The sequence below is a fragment of the Homo sapiens genome, chromosome 4 (assembly GCF_000001405.40).
Source record: "Homo sapiens chromosome 4, GRCh38.p14 Primary Assembly".
Classification (NCBI taxonomy): domain Eukaryota; kingdom Metazoa; phylum Chordata; class Mammalia; order Primates; family Hominidae; genus Homo; species Homo sapiens.
In genome coordinates this window covers 127628948-127648866 of record NC_000004.12, presented here as the reverse complement: position 1 = coordinate 127648866, position 19919 = coordinate 127628948, and the positions used below count along the sequence as shown (strand labels likewise).

Here is a 19919-nt window from a genome sequence, read left to right as displayed (position 1 = left end):
CAAAATAAACTTTCAACTTGAAGTCCACTTGGAAAAAAAAAAACACAACAAGATGCCTGTTTAATTTCTCCTATATAAGAGATTAAACAAAAGTACTATATCAAATTACTTATAGCTGTAGTGATTAAAAGAAAATAAAGGAATGATGGACACAGTATAGCTGTGTCAATGTAAAATGAAACCACTTTTGGACTATCCTAATGATTAGTTCTGTTGTCTATAGTTTGTTATCCTCAGGGCACAGAAATAGTAAAAACATTTTAAATTTGTTACTTTAAACTAAAACTCCATTGGATGATGTGCCAAATGACTTTTTTCTCCAAATCCTAATGAATACATTCCTGTAGCTGAGTGTTATAGGGAGTATTATCTAAAATTATCAAGTCTAACAAACCTCTAAAAAGAGGAGATGGTTCATCATAAAAATATATGAAAATAAATTCTGAAAGCAAGTGTAGTATACCCAATATTTTTAAATGTTTAGTAGAAAATTTTCCCATTCTATGAAATAAATATTATATCCACTTCTCATTCTCCCAGACATTTGTTTTCCTCTAGTGTTTCTGAACACTTCTGTGAAGTGACTCAGAGATGGCTGGCTTCCCGGACATCGCACCTTTGCAGTGGACATCCTAAACCCAAGGAAAGGTCTTTCTCCATAAGTACACGGGAGTCATTAATATGATCTGTCCCATTTCAAAGGCTAAAAGGGAATGAATTATATGATTGATTTGCATTGTTAAATAAGAAATGGCCTGGGTAGAAATATGAGAAAATTTTTATTAAGAGATATATTTAAGAACCAAATAAAATATTTTAAAAAGAGATCAGTTTATCACAGTTCCTCAATGTAAAGTTAAATTATGTGAGAAAAGCCATCAATTTCTCAGTATATACTTAACATCAAACAACATGTGTACTAAAGGGCTACTACATAAGGCACCAAGGGCTATGAAAATATATATGCAAAAGTTTGTTTACTGCTGTGTTTATACTATATATAAAATGAATATACAACTTAAATTATTTTTGACAAAAGATTATTGTATATAAATGTAGGAAAAGGGAGGATATATAACAAAATGTTGTCTTTGGGTATATGGAATTTTTCTTTTTTGCTTAATTGTATTTTCTAAATTGTCTACAATGAACGTATATTATTACTATCACAAAAAGAAAAAAAACTCATATTTTACCAAAAAACCCCCCACTGAGGTAGGCAGCATAATTGCCCCCCAAAGATGTCTATGTTTCAATCCCTGAAATCTCTGAATATGCTACCTTACACAGCAAGAAGGACTTTGCAGTTGTAATTAACTTAAAAGATTGGAAGACTGTCCTGGATTATCCGAATGATCGTCAGGTAAAGATAAAGGTCTTTATAGGAGGAAGGCAAAAGTGTCAGGGTCAGCATGAGAGAGACTGGAAGATGCTATGCTGCTGGCTTTGATGATGGAGGACAGGACCACAAGCCAAAGAATGCAGGTAGCCTCTGAAAGCTGGCCAAGGAATGGGATTCTTCCCTGGAGCCTCCAAAAGGAATGTAGCCCTGTGGACACCTTGATTTTCATACAAGAAGACCCATTTTAGATTTCTGGCTTACATTATTGCAAGATGATAAATCTGTATTGTTTTAAACCACTAAGTTTGTGGTAATTTGTCACGGCAGCAATAGAAGATGAATGCACTAGCCTAGTAATACAAAGCAATCTTTGTGATGCACCAAAAAAGGAATCACGAATGCTAAAAAGCAAAGATGGACACACAAGGTGTATCTGGAGGTCAGTTAGGAAAAAAATAAATCAGGCTTGCTTGTTAGAGGTGGGGATTTATGGATAGAAGGAGTGGCACATATGTATGGGACAGAAAAATGAGATCAAATTGTGAATTGAAATTGATCCTTTTAATTAAGCCAAATTTGACTTCAGGGAAAGGGAATCTGGTTTTTGAAAAGCAGTTACTATACTGCCATTTTATACATTCAAAACTCAATGTTTTCTGCCAATGCATTTACTAACAATAAATTTTGTTATTTTTTTTTGAGTTTCAATCTCAACCCCTCGTCTATAATATGTGGGCACCAAACTAGAGAGAATTAAGGCCCCTCCCAACCTACCATTCTGAAGTCCTTGAATAATGGTACCAACTTGCTTTTGTGAAAACTGTTAAATGAAGAAAAATCAGACATTTATCCTGCCTTTCCTGTCTAAACCATATGTCAAGGTTACCAGAGGTGAGGGGGAGCTTCTTTTTATGAAAGTAGTCTAACTGAAATATTGAGAAAGACTGACAGAATTGGAATATCACCATTTTGCAGTCCCTTAATGAATTAATGGATTTAGGCAATGATCATCAATAACTGTTAATATCACAAAAAGAAAAACAGCAGATAATATGTTGTTCCTGATGGAAGCACACAGACCACCTATAAAATATGTTTGATAGGCCTCAAGATCTAACTACCAACTCACAGGAAACACCACTGAAAGGGGGGCACGTTAAATGAATTCTGGCTCCTTTTACAGAACTAAAAGAACAAACCATAGAGATATTTAGTTCTATCCTATCATTTCACAAGAAGGAAAGTAGAGGACCCAAGAGAATGTAAGTATGTATTAGCCCCTGTTCCAGTCATCTATTGTTGCATAATAAGTCATCCAAACAATTTTTTTTTTTTTTTTTGAGACAGAGTCTCACTGTGTTCCCCCAGGCTGGAGTGCGGTGGTACAATCTTGGCTCATTGCAACCTCTGCCTCCCAGGTTCAAGTGATTCTCGTGCCCCAGCCTCCCCAGCAGCTGAGATTACAGGCATGCACCACAAGGCCCAGCTAAGTTTTGTATTTTTTAGTAGACACGGGGTCTTGCCATGTTGGCCAGGCTGGTCTCAAACTCCTGGCCTCAAGTGATCTGCCCACCTTGGCCTCCCAAAGTGCTGGGATTACAAGTGTTAGCCACCACGCCAGGCCTATCCAAATAATTCTGAGGCTTAAAACAACAACAGTTGGCCAGGCACGGTGGCTCACGCCTGTAATCCCAGCACTTTGTGAGGCTGAGGCGGGTGGATCACCTGAGGTCAGGAGTTCAAGACCAGCCTGACCAACATGGTGAAACTCCATCTCTACTAAAAAATACAAAAAAATTAGTCAGGCATGGTGGTGGGTGCCAGTAATCCCAACTACTCAGGAGGCTGAGGCAGAAGAATCGCTTGAACCCGGGAGGTAGAGGTTGAAGTGAGCCAAGATGGTGCCATTGCACTCTAGCCTGAGTGACAACAGCAAAACTCCATCTCAAAAATAAATAAATAAATAAATAAAATAAAAAATAAAAAAATAACAACAACAATAATTTATCATCTCTCCTGGTTCTGGGGTTAACTGGGGTCAGCTGTGGTTCTCACTTGGGATTCCTCATGCAGTTACAGGCAGATGGTGGTTGGGGCTGGAGTCATCTTAAAGGCTTCTCACTCACATCTGGTGGCGAGGGCTTCAGTTGGGGCTATCAGCTGGATCACTGGTGTCTTGACCTCTTCACACAATGGTGACTGGGTTCTAAGGGCAAGTATCCCCAAAATAACCAGGCAGAAGCTGCATCACCTTTTATGATCCAACCTCTTAAGTCACATGGCACCAATTAAGCTGTAGTCACCGGCCCACCCAGATTCAATGACACAGAGCACAACTCTCCATGGGAGGAGTATCAACACTACATTTTAAGAAAGTGTGCAGATCCTGTTGAGATCATTCTGGAACACATACTTTGCCACAGATGCCCTTCTTACAAGATTCCATATGATCCTCCTTGTAAACCCCTATGATGACACTTATCAGACAGTGAGGAGCTGCCTGCCTATCTGTAACCCGTCTCTTCCACTAAAACATAGCTCCTTTCAAGAAATAATTGGATCAGTAAAGTAATCTTTGTATTCCTGGCACTTAGCAGATGCTAAAAAAACAAACTGTCAAATCAGTGAACAAACAAATGAAATTCAGATTTAAAGTTGGAAATATTTGTAAATTTATCTGTAAATGTTCTTCATTTAAACCTCTTATGCTAGATAAACTTAAAAGACTGTCAGCTTTTAGAACTGTTATTACTTTTAAATTTTAGTAATAATATATCCTCAAATTTTACTCATTTATCTTTAAGTAATTAGATTGCTACTAACTCAAACATTGTATCTAACAGCTTAAAATTTATCAGCAACACAAAATGTTCATCTTAATATATATTCAGAATAATTTGTGGGTTTATTTTTCTTGAAAATTGGTGGGCTATTTTATGACAGATATATTTTATGACACACGCCCTTAAAAGGAAATTTATATATAACACCACTGTTGCAAAATATGCCAAATGAAACAGTTGAAAACCACTCCAAGAACTTAGTGTACTCAAGTGCAAACATACAATTTAAAAGTATTTTTATTCATAAATTATATATTTTTGTATCCTGTTACTGGATATAGCCATTCAAACCTAAATTATCACTCTATGATCAACGTTTTTTTTCTTGTCAGCAAATATAACCAAGATGAAATAAAATTATATAATTCAAAACTTGAAAATTAGGTAAGCTATTTCTTGGCCTGAACAAGGCACACACATACTCAACACACTGAACTGGTCATTTTAAGAACACTGTGCCTTGTAGTGCACCATGTGTAACCATTTCTCTACTGTACCAAATGTCATTAATCAGTTCTTTATCTGTGGAGACTGTATATAATTGTTTTTATCACATTTCCCGCAAGGTGTCATCATTAATCAAGATCTCTGTAAACAGGGATGGATGTGTACCAGCAACACTTACCAATGAGTACCTGACCGCTCTTCATAGCAGATCCCCCTGGCAGCAGGCCATGAACCACAAGCCTCTCTCCATCACCCTGCTTTCCGGTTCTTCTCCAGCTCCACTTGGTCTGATGAATAATTCCAACCAGCACTTCCAGAAGCTTGAGCTGCTCTTTGGCTTTGATAACAGTTAGCTTTTTGGGGTTTACATAAACATTCACATCTTTGTATCGCTGTTGGACAATGACTCCTGTCTTCTGATTGGACTGATGCTTTAGAATGGATACTGGTCCATTGTCATTGCTATTTTTTTTATTGCAGCGCTTGGGTAAAAGTCTTTTCCTTCTTAAAATTTTGGTAAACTGCTTGAGTTTGGGTTCATACTTTTTTCTTTCTTTGTAGTCATCTTCAATGATAATCTCATTTTCACTGAACCTGACATGGTTCACAGTTGGTGTCTCAGGAAGGAGGCTTTCTTCTTCATCCTCACTCAATTCCAAATAAAACAGCTCTCCATTTTTCTGCACACTGTCCAGCCATTCAGGCTCAAGATCACTATGAAAGAGAGAAAAGATAATCTTAATAGCAGCCCAATATATAAAAGAAAGGTATGTCATCCTGGCATGGGGGTGAGGGTTGGGGCTGGGGAGCAGGAAGATGGGAAAGGGTGAAACTTCTTTATTATTTCAAATTATCCTTACTATTTCTAATTTATTGTGATCCTCAACATTATTTCATATAGGATGCTTTTTTTGTAGAGCTTTGAATAGGAGTTGGGGGAGAAGGAATCAAAAAGGCATAGCAATAGAAAGGAAAACCAATGAAAAAAGAGATGGTCCCCTTATAGAATCTATGAGTTGAAAAAAATTAAATCAACCACTGTGTGGTTACTGCTCACTTTAAACAATTTCACTGAATGATAATTTGCATTAGCAGTTGATTATGCAATTATATCCACACAAGCATGCCATTTGGAAATTGTACATGAAAATCTATTATTTGCATAGAAATTATTTAGGATGGCTGTCAGGTTAAAATGAAAGCTAAAGCCAGCTTTAACAGACTTTTACATAAGTTTTCAAAAAAGAAACATTCACTTCACCATGAACTAAAATCTGTCCTGAAAACAACCCATTTATAATCACAGTTAATATAGTAATGATCACTTTACTGTCTATAATTTCCATAAAACTCCTTTTTATGAAAAATTGTAGTAGAAAAAAAAAAGCACATATTACATAATTCATCGTGATTATAAAAAATATTTTTAACTGGGAAGTATGCCACTGAAAAAAAAAACAAAATTACTGCTATTAAAATGATTGAAATAGCATTAAGGAGCAAAAATACTCATGGTAACAAACCTAAACTCTACCCTGTTCAATGTTATGAACAGTTTACCTTTCAAACTGCTATTCTTTAAAGTGAAACTAGTAATAGTGGAAAAATTAACATGTAGAGAGTCTTTTCAGAAACATGAGCTGTAATATCCCGGCCTGAAAGAGTATAATTTGTGTTGTAATCATTAAATCAGATAGAAGACATTTCTGTTTTCTGCAGTGTTTATTAGCAACTCCAGTTCTCTTAACTTAAAAGTCAAATGTCTCTTTCTAAACACTTTGAAAATTAGCCCCCAAAATATACTATTCTATTACTCAACTCAAACTAACCACTGCCCTGGTCTGTGGCTGGTCATTAATACAGAATTTTCAGCTACATATGAGTCATTTTTAAAAATGCCTAACAAGCTGAAAATATCAAAACTAACATTTCTTTGGGACTTGTTGGTTCCCAGTGTGTGGCATCATCATAGGCACTAAGCCTCACTTATTGCAGATTATCAACCAAATATCACTTATTTCAACAATACCTATCTGTACCCACAGAATCAATATTTAAATAACTATGCAGTTCTACTCTTGAGAGTCTAAATAACTATATCCCCACCATAATCATTTAGTAACAAAGCTACCTTAATTTTAATTGCTACAGTGTAAATACCATGATTGCACATTAATTACTTAAAAACATATGTATCAATTTAAAAAATATATATATATATCAATTTAAACAATGAATAAAGTGTATCAGCCTTATTATCTCACCCTTTTAACCTGGTAAGTTATTTGTATTAGAGATATATAAAAGAAACATCTTTTCCACTTACTAAATATGAAGATGATTCATTTCAATCTCTAAAGTTTGAATGTGAAATCACTTTTGGTTATGATTCAAAGATCCATGCACGTGGTGGCCAAGGGGATAGCATCTTGGCATTCAATTGTGGAGCAACTAAACAGTGCCAGGAACTATGGTAAGTACCAGAATTATAATGACGAGAATGTCAGTTCCCGCCCTTGCTTAGTAAAGAAGAGAAAGTGAGAAAGAATTCATGACAGTACACAGGGTAAGTACAAGATAGAGGCATACAGGAGAGTCACCCAGCTTAGCCATACAGGAAAGTCACCCAGCTTAGCCATACGGGAGAGTCACCCAGCTTAGCCTAGCTGGAGGTTGAGGGGAGATCAGGGAGACCCCAGAAACCAGTTTGAAAGGATAAATGAAGGAGGGAGAGAGGTGGGGAGCTGAAGGGAAAGATGTGAAGAGGATTTCAAACAGGAGTAACAGCATAAGCAAAGACCTGAGGATAGTCCCCATGGCCTAGACGGACAACCACTGGCAGTCTGCAGTTGTCAGAGTAAATGCGGAAGGTGGGGAATGACAGAAGTGGTCAAGCCCTAGTTTTGCCAGGCTTTTTAGATCACCCTAAGGGGTTTGGCTTTTGTAGTGCAGGTAAGAAGGCATCAACAAAGAGTTTTAAGTAGAGAGTTTACGTGTTAGATATCCCTGGATAGGTCTACTTTGGCAAGTAAATCGTTGGTGGATTTGAGGTGGACAAGACTCAAGGCAGGAGGGCTAGTCAGGGGGCTGTTTCAGTAGCTGAAGCAAAAATGACAAATAAAGCAATAGTAGAAGACATGGAAAGTAGGAAAAATATGTGAGAAACTCTTGAAAATCACCAGAACTTTGAGACTGATTAGGTGGGGAGAGAGAGAGAGAGAGGGATTCATGTTGACTAGATTTCTAGCTGGTGACTATACTTTCATGCATCCTTTTGTGAGTACCCATGTGCAGACTCATTGTAATACATGGGAACACAATCTTAATACTTCTCTTACTACCTCTCTCTCACATGAACACTGTTAAAAAATCCATGCTTTATAATCATATAAAAACACATATAGGGTTATTCTGTCACTGTTTTGAAAAAGTGGAATCATTATATATGTACCTATATAAAGTACATATATAATTTCTCACTTAACAATACAGCTTAGAAATCACTAGTGGCTGCATAATATTCAATATCAAGGATGTAGGACATTTGGTCATTCACCTACTGATAAGCTTTGTGTTCAGTTCTTGTTTTTCCACCACAAAGTTATAGGAACCATCAATATACACATGTGTGTTTATGTATATGTATATATATATATATATATATATATATATATATATATATATATATATATGTATCTTTACCCAAAAGACTATACCAATTTATATTTTCACTAGCGATGTGTGGGATCCACTCTCTTAATGTCTAGATTTCTAAATATACATCATTTTAAGAAGAGAAAGACACTTTTTAAAAAGAGGAAGAAACTAAAAGGAAGATAAAGAGGTAGAGACAGGGAAGTGTAAATAAGAGACCCCCACACAGAAGGGCAACTTATACTGAAAAGCAAATGAACTGAGAAATCATGAAGAGCTGAGTTCAAATTTTGTTCTATTATGATTTTAACCTTTCTAAGATTGACTGATTGCTTTAGTTTTCCTCTTCTTGAAAATAGATTATAGCTACCTCACAGGACTCTTGTCAATAGAAAATACAATAATGTTGTTCCTGACATGGTTAAGTTCCAAATAAATATCAGTTCCCTTCCTCTTGCTTTTACTAGATATAACTCTTGTGTTTCTGTATTTTTCTAACTGGCATTAAATGAAGGTGTCTCTAATGATCTCAGTTTGCCAGGTTTCAGGGTAGGTGATAGTGACACAAGAAGCAAAGCGAGGCACTGCCTTTAAGGACCCTACAGGTCAATATTCCTGGAAGGTTCTTTATTTCTACTCCAGAGGAATAGTTCCGAGTTAAGTAAGCATCAAGAGATTGGTCGACGGGTACAAAGTTACAGTTAGATAGGAGAAATAAATTCTGGTGTTCTATTACACAGTAGGGAGACTATAGTTAACAATATTATAGTGTATATTTCAAAATTACTAGAACAGAGGATTTTTGAATGTTCTCATCACAAAGAAATGATAAACATATGAGGTGATAAATAGGCCAAATGCCCTGATTTAATCACTATACAATGTATATGTCTATTGAAACATCACATTATACTCCACAAATATGTGTAATTATTATGTGTCAATTTTTTAAAAAGAGGATAAATGATTAGTGTATTAAGAAATTTTAATAGAATTCTAATGACTGTTGTCCCAAACTAGTTCTTCTAGCCCTATTAGAAGAAAGGGGATGTGTTAACAACAACAACAACAAAAAACCCACAAAAACCTAACCTTTCACTACAACTTCCCTAAATTAAAGAAATCAATACATATAGATAATCCCCACTCCAGGAGATGAAGTTTAATCCCTCCTCCCCTTGAGTATAGACTTAGTGACTATACTCTTCCAGAGAACAGAGTATGGAAAGAGAAAGATAGTAACTTTCCAGGGAAGAGACCTGGCAGACACTACCTTACATAACCAAGTGATCAAGGTAATGAAAAACAGGAAAGGACTAAGATATTGTTACAGACCAGAGGAGACTAAGCAGACAATACAATATTCTGGATTGAATCCTGGAATAGAAAAAGAACATTAATGGAAGAGTGGTGAAAGCCAAATAAAGTTTGGAGTTTAGTTAACAGAAATGACCAATATTCATGTCTTGTTTTGACAAATGCATAATAGTTGTGTAAGATGTTAACATCAGGGGAAAGTGGGTGAAGGATTTATGGGAAGTCTGTACTATCTTTGGAACTCTTGTGTAAATCTAAACTTACTCAAAAATAAAAAGAAAATTAATGGAAGGAATTAAATCTAGCAGTTTTAATTCAGATCTTTGTAGTACATGGGTCATATTTCAGCACTAATATAAATACGCCTTCAAAATTTTCTAAGACCTTATAGTACAAGCTGCATAATTATTGTGTAAATGTTTTTCAATTTTCTTTCAATGAGTCTTATTTTGTTTATTCTGCTTTGCTTTAAGCAGAATAAGTGTATGTTTATAGCCTGCCAGCAACGTTTTAGGGCATTTTAATTGGTATTCAAGGCCCTAAATGATGTGGTAAACAGGAGTAGAGCCCTTCTTCCCAAAGAAAGACTTGTTAATTTGCAAATAAGCAAGTTCACTTGCATAAGCTGTAACATAAATATATTAAAGAAAATGAACTTCAGATAATGCTAATAATTGTCTCATTCCTGACGTATTCAAAAATATCTAGGTCAACACTACATCTTTTAATACCCCTCTAATAGTTATTTGAATCTCTCAGGTCTTTATTTGCATTAATGCCAGCATTTTTCATCATTTGCAATAGTACAGCAATTTCCTTAACTACCACAAGAAAGGAGTTATAAAACAGCCAGCCCCACTGGCACATTTCCTTAGTTAAGGAAAATAAACACTTGCTACTATTCCAAATCTGTTATAGTATACTTTTTTCTTTTTTTCTTAGTGGGCAAAGCACAATGCACTTTACCGAAGTGGTCAACACATATAGTTATGTGGTGCTAATAGGTATAACAGGACAATTCTAGGAACAGAGAAAAACCACACACAATAAAAACACTGTGACAAATTAATATGGATTCTATCCGGCACTTATTCAGTAAGCACTTGCCTGCCTATGCTTTTCTGTGTTTTCTTTTCTGTGTTCTGTCTACCAACAATATCTGATTTTCACTCTTGATGGTCTTCTGATCATTTACTAAAGGAACACCATGAATTTCAATCATTAACATGTATGCTGGATGATATAGCAGCTTAGGGGTAGGGAGTCTCAGATGAGCTGAAGCTCTTCTTGCTAAGCAACATTAGAATAACTGTTAAGCATGTCAAAGAAGGCAAAGGGATCAGTCAATAAATGCATAACTGTTCATTCACTGCAGGTAATACATTTCTACATCAGGAACACATCTAATAGTGACTTCATTCCCCGGGTCACATTTCCTACCACCTGCCCCCTCAGCTAAACAGGGCATTCCTATGCATCACTAAATTAGTGATACAATCTAACCCTGGCAGGACAAAAGTCATACATCAACAAAACATTTTCTGATAGGACTTTACTGTACTTTTAAAGATGTCAGATGGGACAGAGAATCAAATGGCTGAAATGCAAGTGCCAACACTCAGGAATAAAGACTGCTATAGGACTAGAGTACAGGATGGAGAGATAGTCTAAGAGAGACCAGAAAAGATTCTAGGAGAAGGTAGAACTTAAGTGGGACCTTGAATGATTTTGACAAGTAGAGATAGGAAGAAAGGGTATTTCAAACAGAGACAACAAAGTACATAAAGGTGTAGGTGTGAAAGCAAGTGGTCAATTTGAGAATAAGTGGATAATCATTTTCAATAATGAACAGGGAGATCAATAGAAATGAGACAAGAAAGACTTGGGACAGATCTAAAATTTAAAAATCATCCTAAGGAACCTAGAATTTATTTGGAAGGCCACCAAACTTTTGAGTAGAGTAGAAAAATGATTTAGAACTGTGTTTTAGAAAGCAAACTGGCAGTGGTATGGAAGAAAGACCACAGACAGGAGAAATCAGAAGCATGCAGATTAGTTAGGAGGCAACTCCACTGGTGCATGGGAAACAGGCAAGAGGCAAGAGGCAACCTTTTAAGTAAGGCAGTGCCTGTGAGAATGGAGAAGAGAAAACCAGAGAAGGAAGTCAATAGTACTGGAGACATCAGATCTGAAGACAAGAGTAAGGAGATAATGATGTCAGTAAATGAGATGGGTAGCCTTAGAGGAGAAATGGAAGACAATGAATTATCTTCACACACTGAGCTGGAAGTAGAGATGACAGCAGGGTAATACCATTTTTCATCATAAACCTAGTTATATACCATGTGCCTTTTTAATCTGTATTAAATTAAAAGTAAAAAGGAGTCAGGGTTCAGAGCAGAAGAAAAAGTAGGAAATATTATCCTAAATTGGATGTTAACAGTATGGCATCATGAGTCTAAATGAAATATTTTGATTCTTCACAACTAGTATGTTCCCATGTTAAAAATTCAAGAAAGAGAGGAAAGTCAGCATTTCTACACATCATTGAGTTGGGGATATGATGTAACTCTGGCAGAACAAAAATCACAGACCAGCAAAATATTTTGTGTTAGGGCTTTGCTGTACAGATTTTTTTTTTTTTTTTTTTGAGATGGTGTGTCTCACTTTGTCACCCAGGCTGCAATGCAATGGTGCGATCTCGGCTCACTGCAACCTCCGCCTTCTGTGTTCAAGTGATTCTCTTGGCTCAGCCTCCCGAGTAGCTGGAATTACAGGTGGACACCACCATGCCCGGCTAATTTTTTGTATCTTTAGTAGAGATGGGGTTTCACCATATTGGCCAGGCTGGTCTCGAACTCGTGACCTCAGGTGATCTGCCCGCCTCGGCCTTCCAAAGTGCTGGGATTACAGGTGTGAGCCCAGCTCAGAATAGGTCTTTAGTGTACAATGGTGATAGGGCTTCACTGTACCAAAAAAAAGAACTTTTTTTTTCTTCAGACAAAATTTTGCTGTCACCCAGACTGGGGTGCAATGGTGTGATCACAGCTCACTGCAACCTTGAAACCCTGAGCTTAAGTGATCCTCCCGCCTCAGCCTCCCAAGTTGCAGGACTATAGGCACATACCATCATGCCTGGCTAATTTTTTTATTTTTTATTTTAGAGATGGGGGTCTCACTATGTTTCCGAGGCTGGTTTCTGACTCCTGGTGTCAAGCAATGCTCCTGCGTTGGCTCCCAAAAGCAGGATTACAGGTATGAGCCACCATACCTAGCCGAGAGATGAACTATTAATGGGGGCAACAACATGGATGAATCTCAAAGTAATTATGCTGAATAAAAGAAGGCAGACAAAAAAGAACATTCATACTGCACAATTCCATCTTTATGAAACTTTAGAAACTACAAACTCCTATAGAGTGACAAAAAGCAGATAAATGGTTATCAGGAGAGGCATAAATGGACTTAAGTAGGTACATGGGGAGACTCTTAGGCGAGATGGATATGTTCATTTTCTTGACAGACGTATACATGTTAAAACATCAAATTGTACATTAAAAATATGTGCAGTTTTTTGTATATAAATTATCCTTCAATGAAGCTATTTTTAAAGTCCCAGAAAAAAATTTAAAGGACATACCTCCCTTCTCCAGCCAATCCTTGTGTTTTAGGTGGAAGTTCCTTAGCTTTAACAGCTAATATCTCATTTAAAATGATTCCTGTTTCTCTCCATCAGCCAGTTTTAAAACTGATGTAACAACAACAAAAAATTCACTTTGAAAAATTAAAAATCCAAGTCACAACATTGACAAACTCTCTGTAACATGAACTAGGCATATTAGCTGGTAACTTGGCATTGTTGCAGGTGAATGTGTGATTTCTGTTATCTTAATGCTAAAACTAGCTAATGGCTCCCTCAACCCAACCAACCCACCAGTATTATCTCGGAAGCCTCCCAGGGTATGTGCCCATGTGTCAACTTAAGACATACTGCAGCAATATAAACTCTTATTCTCTAACAAACCTAAAACAAACCTATTAAAAGAACTCTACCAGAATTTACCATAATGTAATTTTATCTCCAAGATGATAAACTTTTAAATTCTATATTGACAATCACATACAGCTCAGGTACAAAGCATGTATGAAACAGTAACTTCTAAAAAGAACACGCAGTTAACTAAAACCTTGAAAATTCAGGATACTTTATGTGAGTCAATATGCAGTACAACTTCCTTAGTAAGCTTCACGTAGTCCATGAAATACAATAGGAAATTCATGTCTTTGCTTTAATGAGAAAGACTAAGGTTGGCATTCCTGTGCCTTTGATTAAAGAGTGGTTCTGTACAAGTTGGGAAGGCCACTGTTTGTAATGATGACTGCAGCTTAGGGAAGTAAACATCTACCATAAGGGAAGAACCGAACATAAGCCTTCCTGGTAAGTTCAGCAAATTAACCCTCATGTCCTACAAATCAAGAAGGGACAGACTTAAAATTTGAAACTTGGTAGGACTTGAAATACAGACCAGCAAAACATCTTATGATAGGGATTTTCTATACTTTTATTATTAGGAGGATAAAGACACTAGAACATGTGGCGTGATTAGTGACATGTGAAAAGCTTAATGATCATTTTTTAAAAGCTAAAATATAACATACATACATGTATTTTGAATCATGAAATACTTTTATTCTTTTAAGTGACAAGTTCTCCTATCACAAGGTCCTCAGATTGGTCATTTCCTAGGAAACAAAGTTCACTATTTTAATCCCATCAAAGTCATGGTGGCCCATTAGGTATCAGGCGTCTTGAATTCTCACACTGACAACACTCAGCTGTGCAACTATACATGAATCATAGATTCTTTCTGGGCTAAAAGTATGCGACTCTAAAATGTGGAGAAGCCAAGAGTTTGAGTCTTACACTGTCTATGGCTTCACATACCAAGACCAAATAAGGTTCTATGTAATTCATATTTCCTTCCAGCAGCCTTGTGTAATAATCATGAATTTTAAAATTATTTTTTTAATGCCTACAGCAGATTACAAAAAAATACGATATTTTAAAATTTGTTTAAGTCTTCAAGAATGTATTAAACAGGTTTCCCCACCATACTTTTAAAGGCAATGATAAAAATCTTTTACATACTGATAGGTAAAAACAATTGCCAAATAACAGTTGCTCCTACATACATATAAATGATTTGTAACTGTTGTTCCTAAATACACATAAAATGTCATCCTAAAACTGACCAGGTATGGTTGTCCATTACTGGGTTAGTTGACATTTTGGCACCAAAACTTTTTCACGATTAGTCATTCTCTTCAAGCTACTGCTAGTTGACTTTTCTAAAGTTCTTAATCCATAGCAGTAAGGGGTAGATTTTTCTTAAAAATGAAGTAGCACTGAATACTGTGAATCAAAATAACCTTTTCATGGCATTATTAAGAAAGTGAAACCTTTAGGTATCTGTATTTTTAAAAATTAAATTATGACGTAAAATGGAAAACAAGAAAATCATGGAGATGCATAGGAAAATACAGCAGAAATATCCAGAAGTGCTGAGAGGTTGTCCTTGATGGTGAGACTATGGGTGGGCGTTCCTTCTGTTATATAGCTATTCATTTCCATAACAGAAAAAATCTACATAAATTTAACAACTGCCTTATAAAACGCGTAGGGTGTCTCTCCACTCCAAATACTAAAGAGATTAAGCCACAAAGGTCACACCAAAGAATCAAGACACTGCGATCGAAACAGAGTTTTTTGAACGCTGTTACAGATATATCCTCCTATGGCCTAGACAGAGCCCATGACCAAAAAGAGGAGATTCTCCTCATCTAAGAATCATTGAAAAAACAAAACAAAACAAACAAAAAACAACCTACAGTAGCAAAGAATGGCATCGTCATTTCTGCTCACACCACCATACAATGGAACGTGGTGCAATTAAATCCCACTTATTATAGAACCCCAAATACTCGATTCCAACCACGCCAACACCCTTGCAGTTCCCCCAGCCCACGTGTATATTCTCTGGATTGATGGGATGGGATTAATTGTCCCTCTTTGAAAACCTTACTCATAATCGCTACTCGCTGAGGAATATGAACCCGAGTCGCTGACCCGATCTTCAAAATCATAGTCCTCATCTTCTTCTTGTGAAGAGGGGTCTCCAGGGAGCTCGTCTGAGCTCGGACGCGAATCGCACGAAGCCACAGAGGCCATCGTCAGGAATGCAATAGCTACGAGTGGAGTAATTCAAATCTCGCAGCTATAGCTTGCTAAGGCCGCCATGTTGCCTCTGCTTGGGAAGGGGCAGAGGCCATGTGACCACCAATCCTTAGCTGCAATTGGTGGCAGGTCGCGTTGCCAGGGAGACGGAGAAGCTTCCCAGAAGAAACAGGGAGAACAGAAAGCAGCCAATGGGCTGAAACTTCCAGGAGGGCTTCTCAGTTGGAAGGATAGAAATAGCTAAAACTTCACCGCTTACGCTCTCCGGAACGCAATTCCTTAGAGCAGCATAACCTGTTAAAACAGGCGGAGATGCACTGGGCTTCTCACCTTTTTCTTCCAGTGCTGGATATCCAGTTTGCTCTTTGTCCTGTGTTTCTAATGCCTAACAGCTGTCGGTCAGCCTGGATTTCCTTCGAGGTGAAGGAAACCGCACTTTACCTTTCCTTAGGACCTCATCCGTGCAAGTAATGGACGCTTTTAAGCAACGCGATCTAGGTGTTAATGTAAATACGCTCCATTGTTTTATGGGTTTCATATTGTTTCGCAATTGCAAACATTTTCACGGTTATCCCAAGTGGGTATTGTAGAGTGCCACAAATGAGTGGCAATCCTGTGGAATCAACTTCATGTTCATTTTCTAACTCAAAATTTTATAATCTAATTAAGTGTTCTCATTATTAAAGTTGGAAGTGTAAACAGGTAAAATCTACCTGTTATTTATGAATACCTATATCAAGTATTTTTTAAGTACAAAAATAACAGCTAGCATTGATTGAGAGTCAGCCTTGGCTCTGCTCACTTTATTCATATACAATGCTGAGCATTCACATACTATGAAGTAAATATTTTCTCTATATTAAATAAGGAAACTAAGCTTTAGAGAAGTTATGCATCTTACTAATGGTTACATGGCTAGCAGTCAACAAAGTCAACCAAGAAATGAACCTAAGTCAATAACCATTACATGAAATTTCCTCCCTCAGAACCCAGTAATTCAACTATTAGATATCTACTCTGAGAAAGGATGCAAATTTATAAAATTTGTAAAAGTGAAAAGCTGAAAGCAATCTTAAAATGTCAAATAATGGGGGAAAAGTTAAATATATATAAAATATGATGATTATGATTTTAACTAGAATGTGTTCAAAGAGTAAAGCATGGGGGAAATGTTCATGTTGCAGCGTGTAAAAAAAGGATATAATGTTATTTTATGATCTAAAAGGCTGGGTGCTGGGGATTCTCTAATGGGCAATTATAACATAGTGATAAGTATTACAATAAATACAAGGTTCTAATGGAATATCCAGAAAAAACCAAAGTAGTATACGTGGGGCCATGACAAATTTCTTAGAGGAAGTATTAATTTATATTGTTATTATGGCATGGTTCCAACAGAGAAAGAGTAATGGGAGATGAGTCATCACATGGCCGGTATGGGTATATGCATGGAGAACTCAAAGGAACCTGAATTGTAGCTGTTGCAGGGGCAGAAAAACTCTACCTCCATCTTCTTAGGGTCCCAGCTGGGCCTGAGAATTAAACTTACCTAAAATAGATTAACAAAAGAAAAGCAACTGGAACTTGTTATACAGATGTTGAGGCCCTGCTCCACATCAACAGGATCAGAATCTCCAGTGGAGGGGCCTGGAAATCTCTATTTCAAACAAGTGCCCCCTGTGATTCAGCAAACTTGGGGAACTGCCCTAAATTTTCTCTCAGTTCTGTGCTTCATCTATACAGGCCAACTGGCCATTCCCTGAATAGGCTGGAACCCACTCCCACCTCGCAAATTTGAGCCTGGCAGACAGACCTCTCTCCTTGCTCTAGAATCCAAGTTTTACATGGCAGGGGAGCCCTCATAAAGAAATGAAGACCCAAAGAAGCAGTTAGAGTCAGTTAACTTATATACTGGATTGGACAAAGAATAGTTAGTTGTGAAGAAGCAACTAAACTAAATTGGGAAGCTTAAAAGATAAGTTATTTTAACAAGGTCTGTACAGAATTCTCTTGGTTTCACTTCTATGCCCTTGAGAATAAGAATGTTACATTTTTCTAGTATAGGGAGGGTGTCTTTCACATGGGAGCTTCATCTGTTGCTTTTAAGAAGCAGCACAAAGGCACTTGCTGTTTTTCAAGTGTATTAAACTTAAATGGCCAGGATAGTATATTTTACCTTCCTCACAGCCAAACAAGCTGCAGTATGCAGCTTATACTTTTAAGCTGAAGTTTAGTTGTATTTACATTAACTGTACATTACATGTACAAATATACATTAAACTATGTACATTTGAATTTGTATATTACATGTACAAATGTACATTAAACTATATACATTTGAATTTCCTAGGTTTTATGGTTTTGTTTTAATTTCTAAATGTGTTTTTATAGTGTTATAACAGCGATTACATTTTGTAATTTATTTGTATTAATTCATAAAATTGTTTTCATCTTATATAGGAGCTATAAAGCACAGATTATACCTCATTTATTTAAAATTATAATTAAAAAACTTAAGTCATCCATGGAAATCCACAATAGTTTTTCCTTAAAAGAGGTCTATATGTTACTAAAGTTGAAGAACAGGAGGAGGAGTTTGTAAAGGGGTAATGGGCAAAAGGAGTGTCAGAGGCATTTGAACCAGAGCGACTCCATCTTGAATAGGGGCTGGGTAAAATAAGGCTGAGACCTACTGGGCTGCTACTCAGGAGGTTAGGCATTCTTAGTCACAGGACAAGATAGGAGGTCGGCACAAGATACAGGTCACAAAGACCTTGCTGATAAAACAGGCTGCGGTAAAGAAGCCAGCCAAAACTTACCAAAACCAAGATGGCTACAAAAGTGACCTCTGGTCATCCTCACTGCTCACTATACGCGAATCATAATTAGAGTACAGTGAGCAGTGAGGATAATGAGCATTAGTTGCTAAAAGACACTCCCATCAGCATCATGACAGTTTACAAACGCCATGGCAATGTCAGGAAGTTATCTAATATATTCTAAAAAAGGGAAGACCCCTCAGTTCTGGGTACTACTCCCCCTTTCCCAGAAAACTCATGAATAATCCACCCCTTGTTTAGCATATAATCAAGAAATAACTATAAGTATACTCAGTCAAGCAGCCCATGCCGCTGCTTTGCCTATGGAGTAGCCCTTCTTTTTTCCTTTACTTTCTTAATAAACTTGCGTTCAATTTACTCTATGAACTTGCCCCGAATTCTTTCTTGGGTAAGGTCCAAGAACTCTCTTGGGGTCTGGATTGGGACCCCTTTCTGGTAACAGGAGGTCCTTGAGGTGGTAGGAGGGGATAGCATCCAAGGCACAGAAGGAGGGATATGACCTCCCTGGACACCTCTTCCCTAAAACTAGAAGAAAGAGCCAAAGAAGGGTGCTGGTGTGGATGGTGACTTGCCAGTTTCAGGCAGGAAGCTGAGGCAGTCTCCATGTGACAGTGTTTATCGTCTGGTAAGTAGGCTGCAACCTTGCCAGCTGAACGTGATGGAGGAAGTAATGGGGTCGGAAGTTTGAAGAAAGTGGAGACAGGAAGGAAGGGAAACAAATATTTCCATTAGCATTGAGATCCAACAAAAAATGTATTACTTTTAAAATCAGAGAAACAATATTATTTTAAAAAGCTGGAGTCCCTATACTCATTATTTTGAGTTTCATGGTAAAATATATATGCTTACTTTCACCACAATCTTAAACATTAGAAATGATTTAAGATTCCATTTCAAAATAAAAAGTGCTTTAGTTACCTCTTTAATAAGTTAACCTTTCCTTGTTTTAAAAGCAACTTATTGGAAGTAAAAAATAAAATAAGAAATTAAAAAAGGACATTTACAAATTTTAGGAAAATATCACATTTTCTTCCTACAAATTTTTCATCAATTTTTTTTTGTAAGCATCTAGTAGTTTCATACCCTGCCTCATAAACCTTGCATGGCACCTCCTTAAATAGAGAACAAAGTCCAAACTGTGTAGCTTCTTTTAAATTTTTTTCTCCAATTCTACAAACAATTGAACACCAATTCAGAATTAAATGGTTTATTCCATGTTACATCGTAAGTTAATCAAGCTG

At 36.8% G+C, this 19919-nt stretch overlaps 1 protein-coding gene across 1 annotated transcript in view, besides 2 other annotated features; it reads right to left on the bottom strand.

Moving 5' to 3' along the window:
- Positions 1–15910, bottom strand: part of INTU (inturned planar cell polarity protein) — a 93781-nt gene extending 77871 nt beyond the window's left edge. Inside the window, exons 1-2 of the mRNA NM_015693.4 lie at positions 15687–15910; positions 4811–5346 (exon numbers count right to left, since the gene is read on the bottom strand). Coding sequence (NP_056508.2) covers positions 4811–5346; positions 15687–15832 — 682 coding nt within the window. The 5' untranslated portion in view covers positions 15833–15910. The remainder of the gene's footprint in view (positions 1–4810; positions 5347–15686) is intronic.
- Positions 15723–16262: an enhancer, noted in NCBI's record as "H3K27ac hESC enhancer chr4:128553760-128554299 (GRCh37/hg19 assembly coordinates)". NCBI's record gives its function as "activates a minimal SCP1, AML or CMV promoter by ChIP-STARR-seq in primed H9 embryonic stem cells {active_cell/tissue: H9 hESC(primed)}" and the evidence as "EXISTENCE:reporter gene assay evidence [ECO:0000049][PMID:30033119]".
- Positions 15881–16060: an enhancer, noted in NCBI's record as "active region_21883". NCBI's record gives its function as "activates an Ori minimal core promoter by ATAC-STARR-seq in GM12878 lymphoblastoid cells {active_cell/tissue: GM12878}" and the evidence as "EXISTENCE:reporter gene assay evidence [ECO:0000049][PMID:35858748]".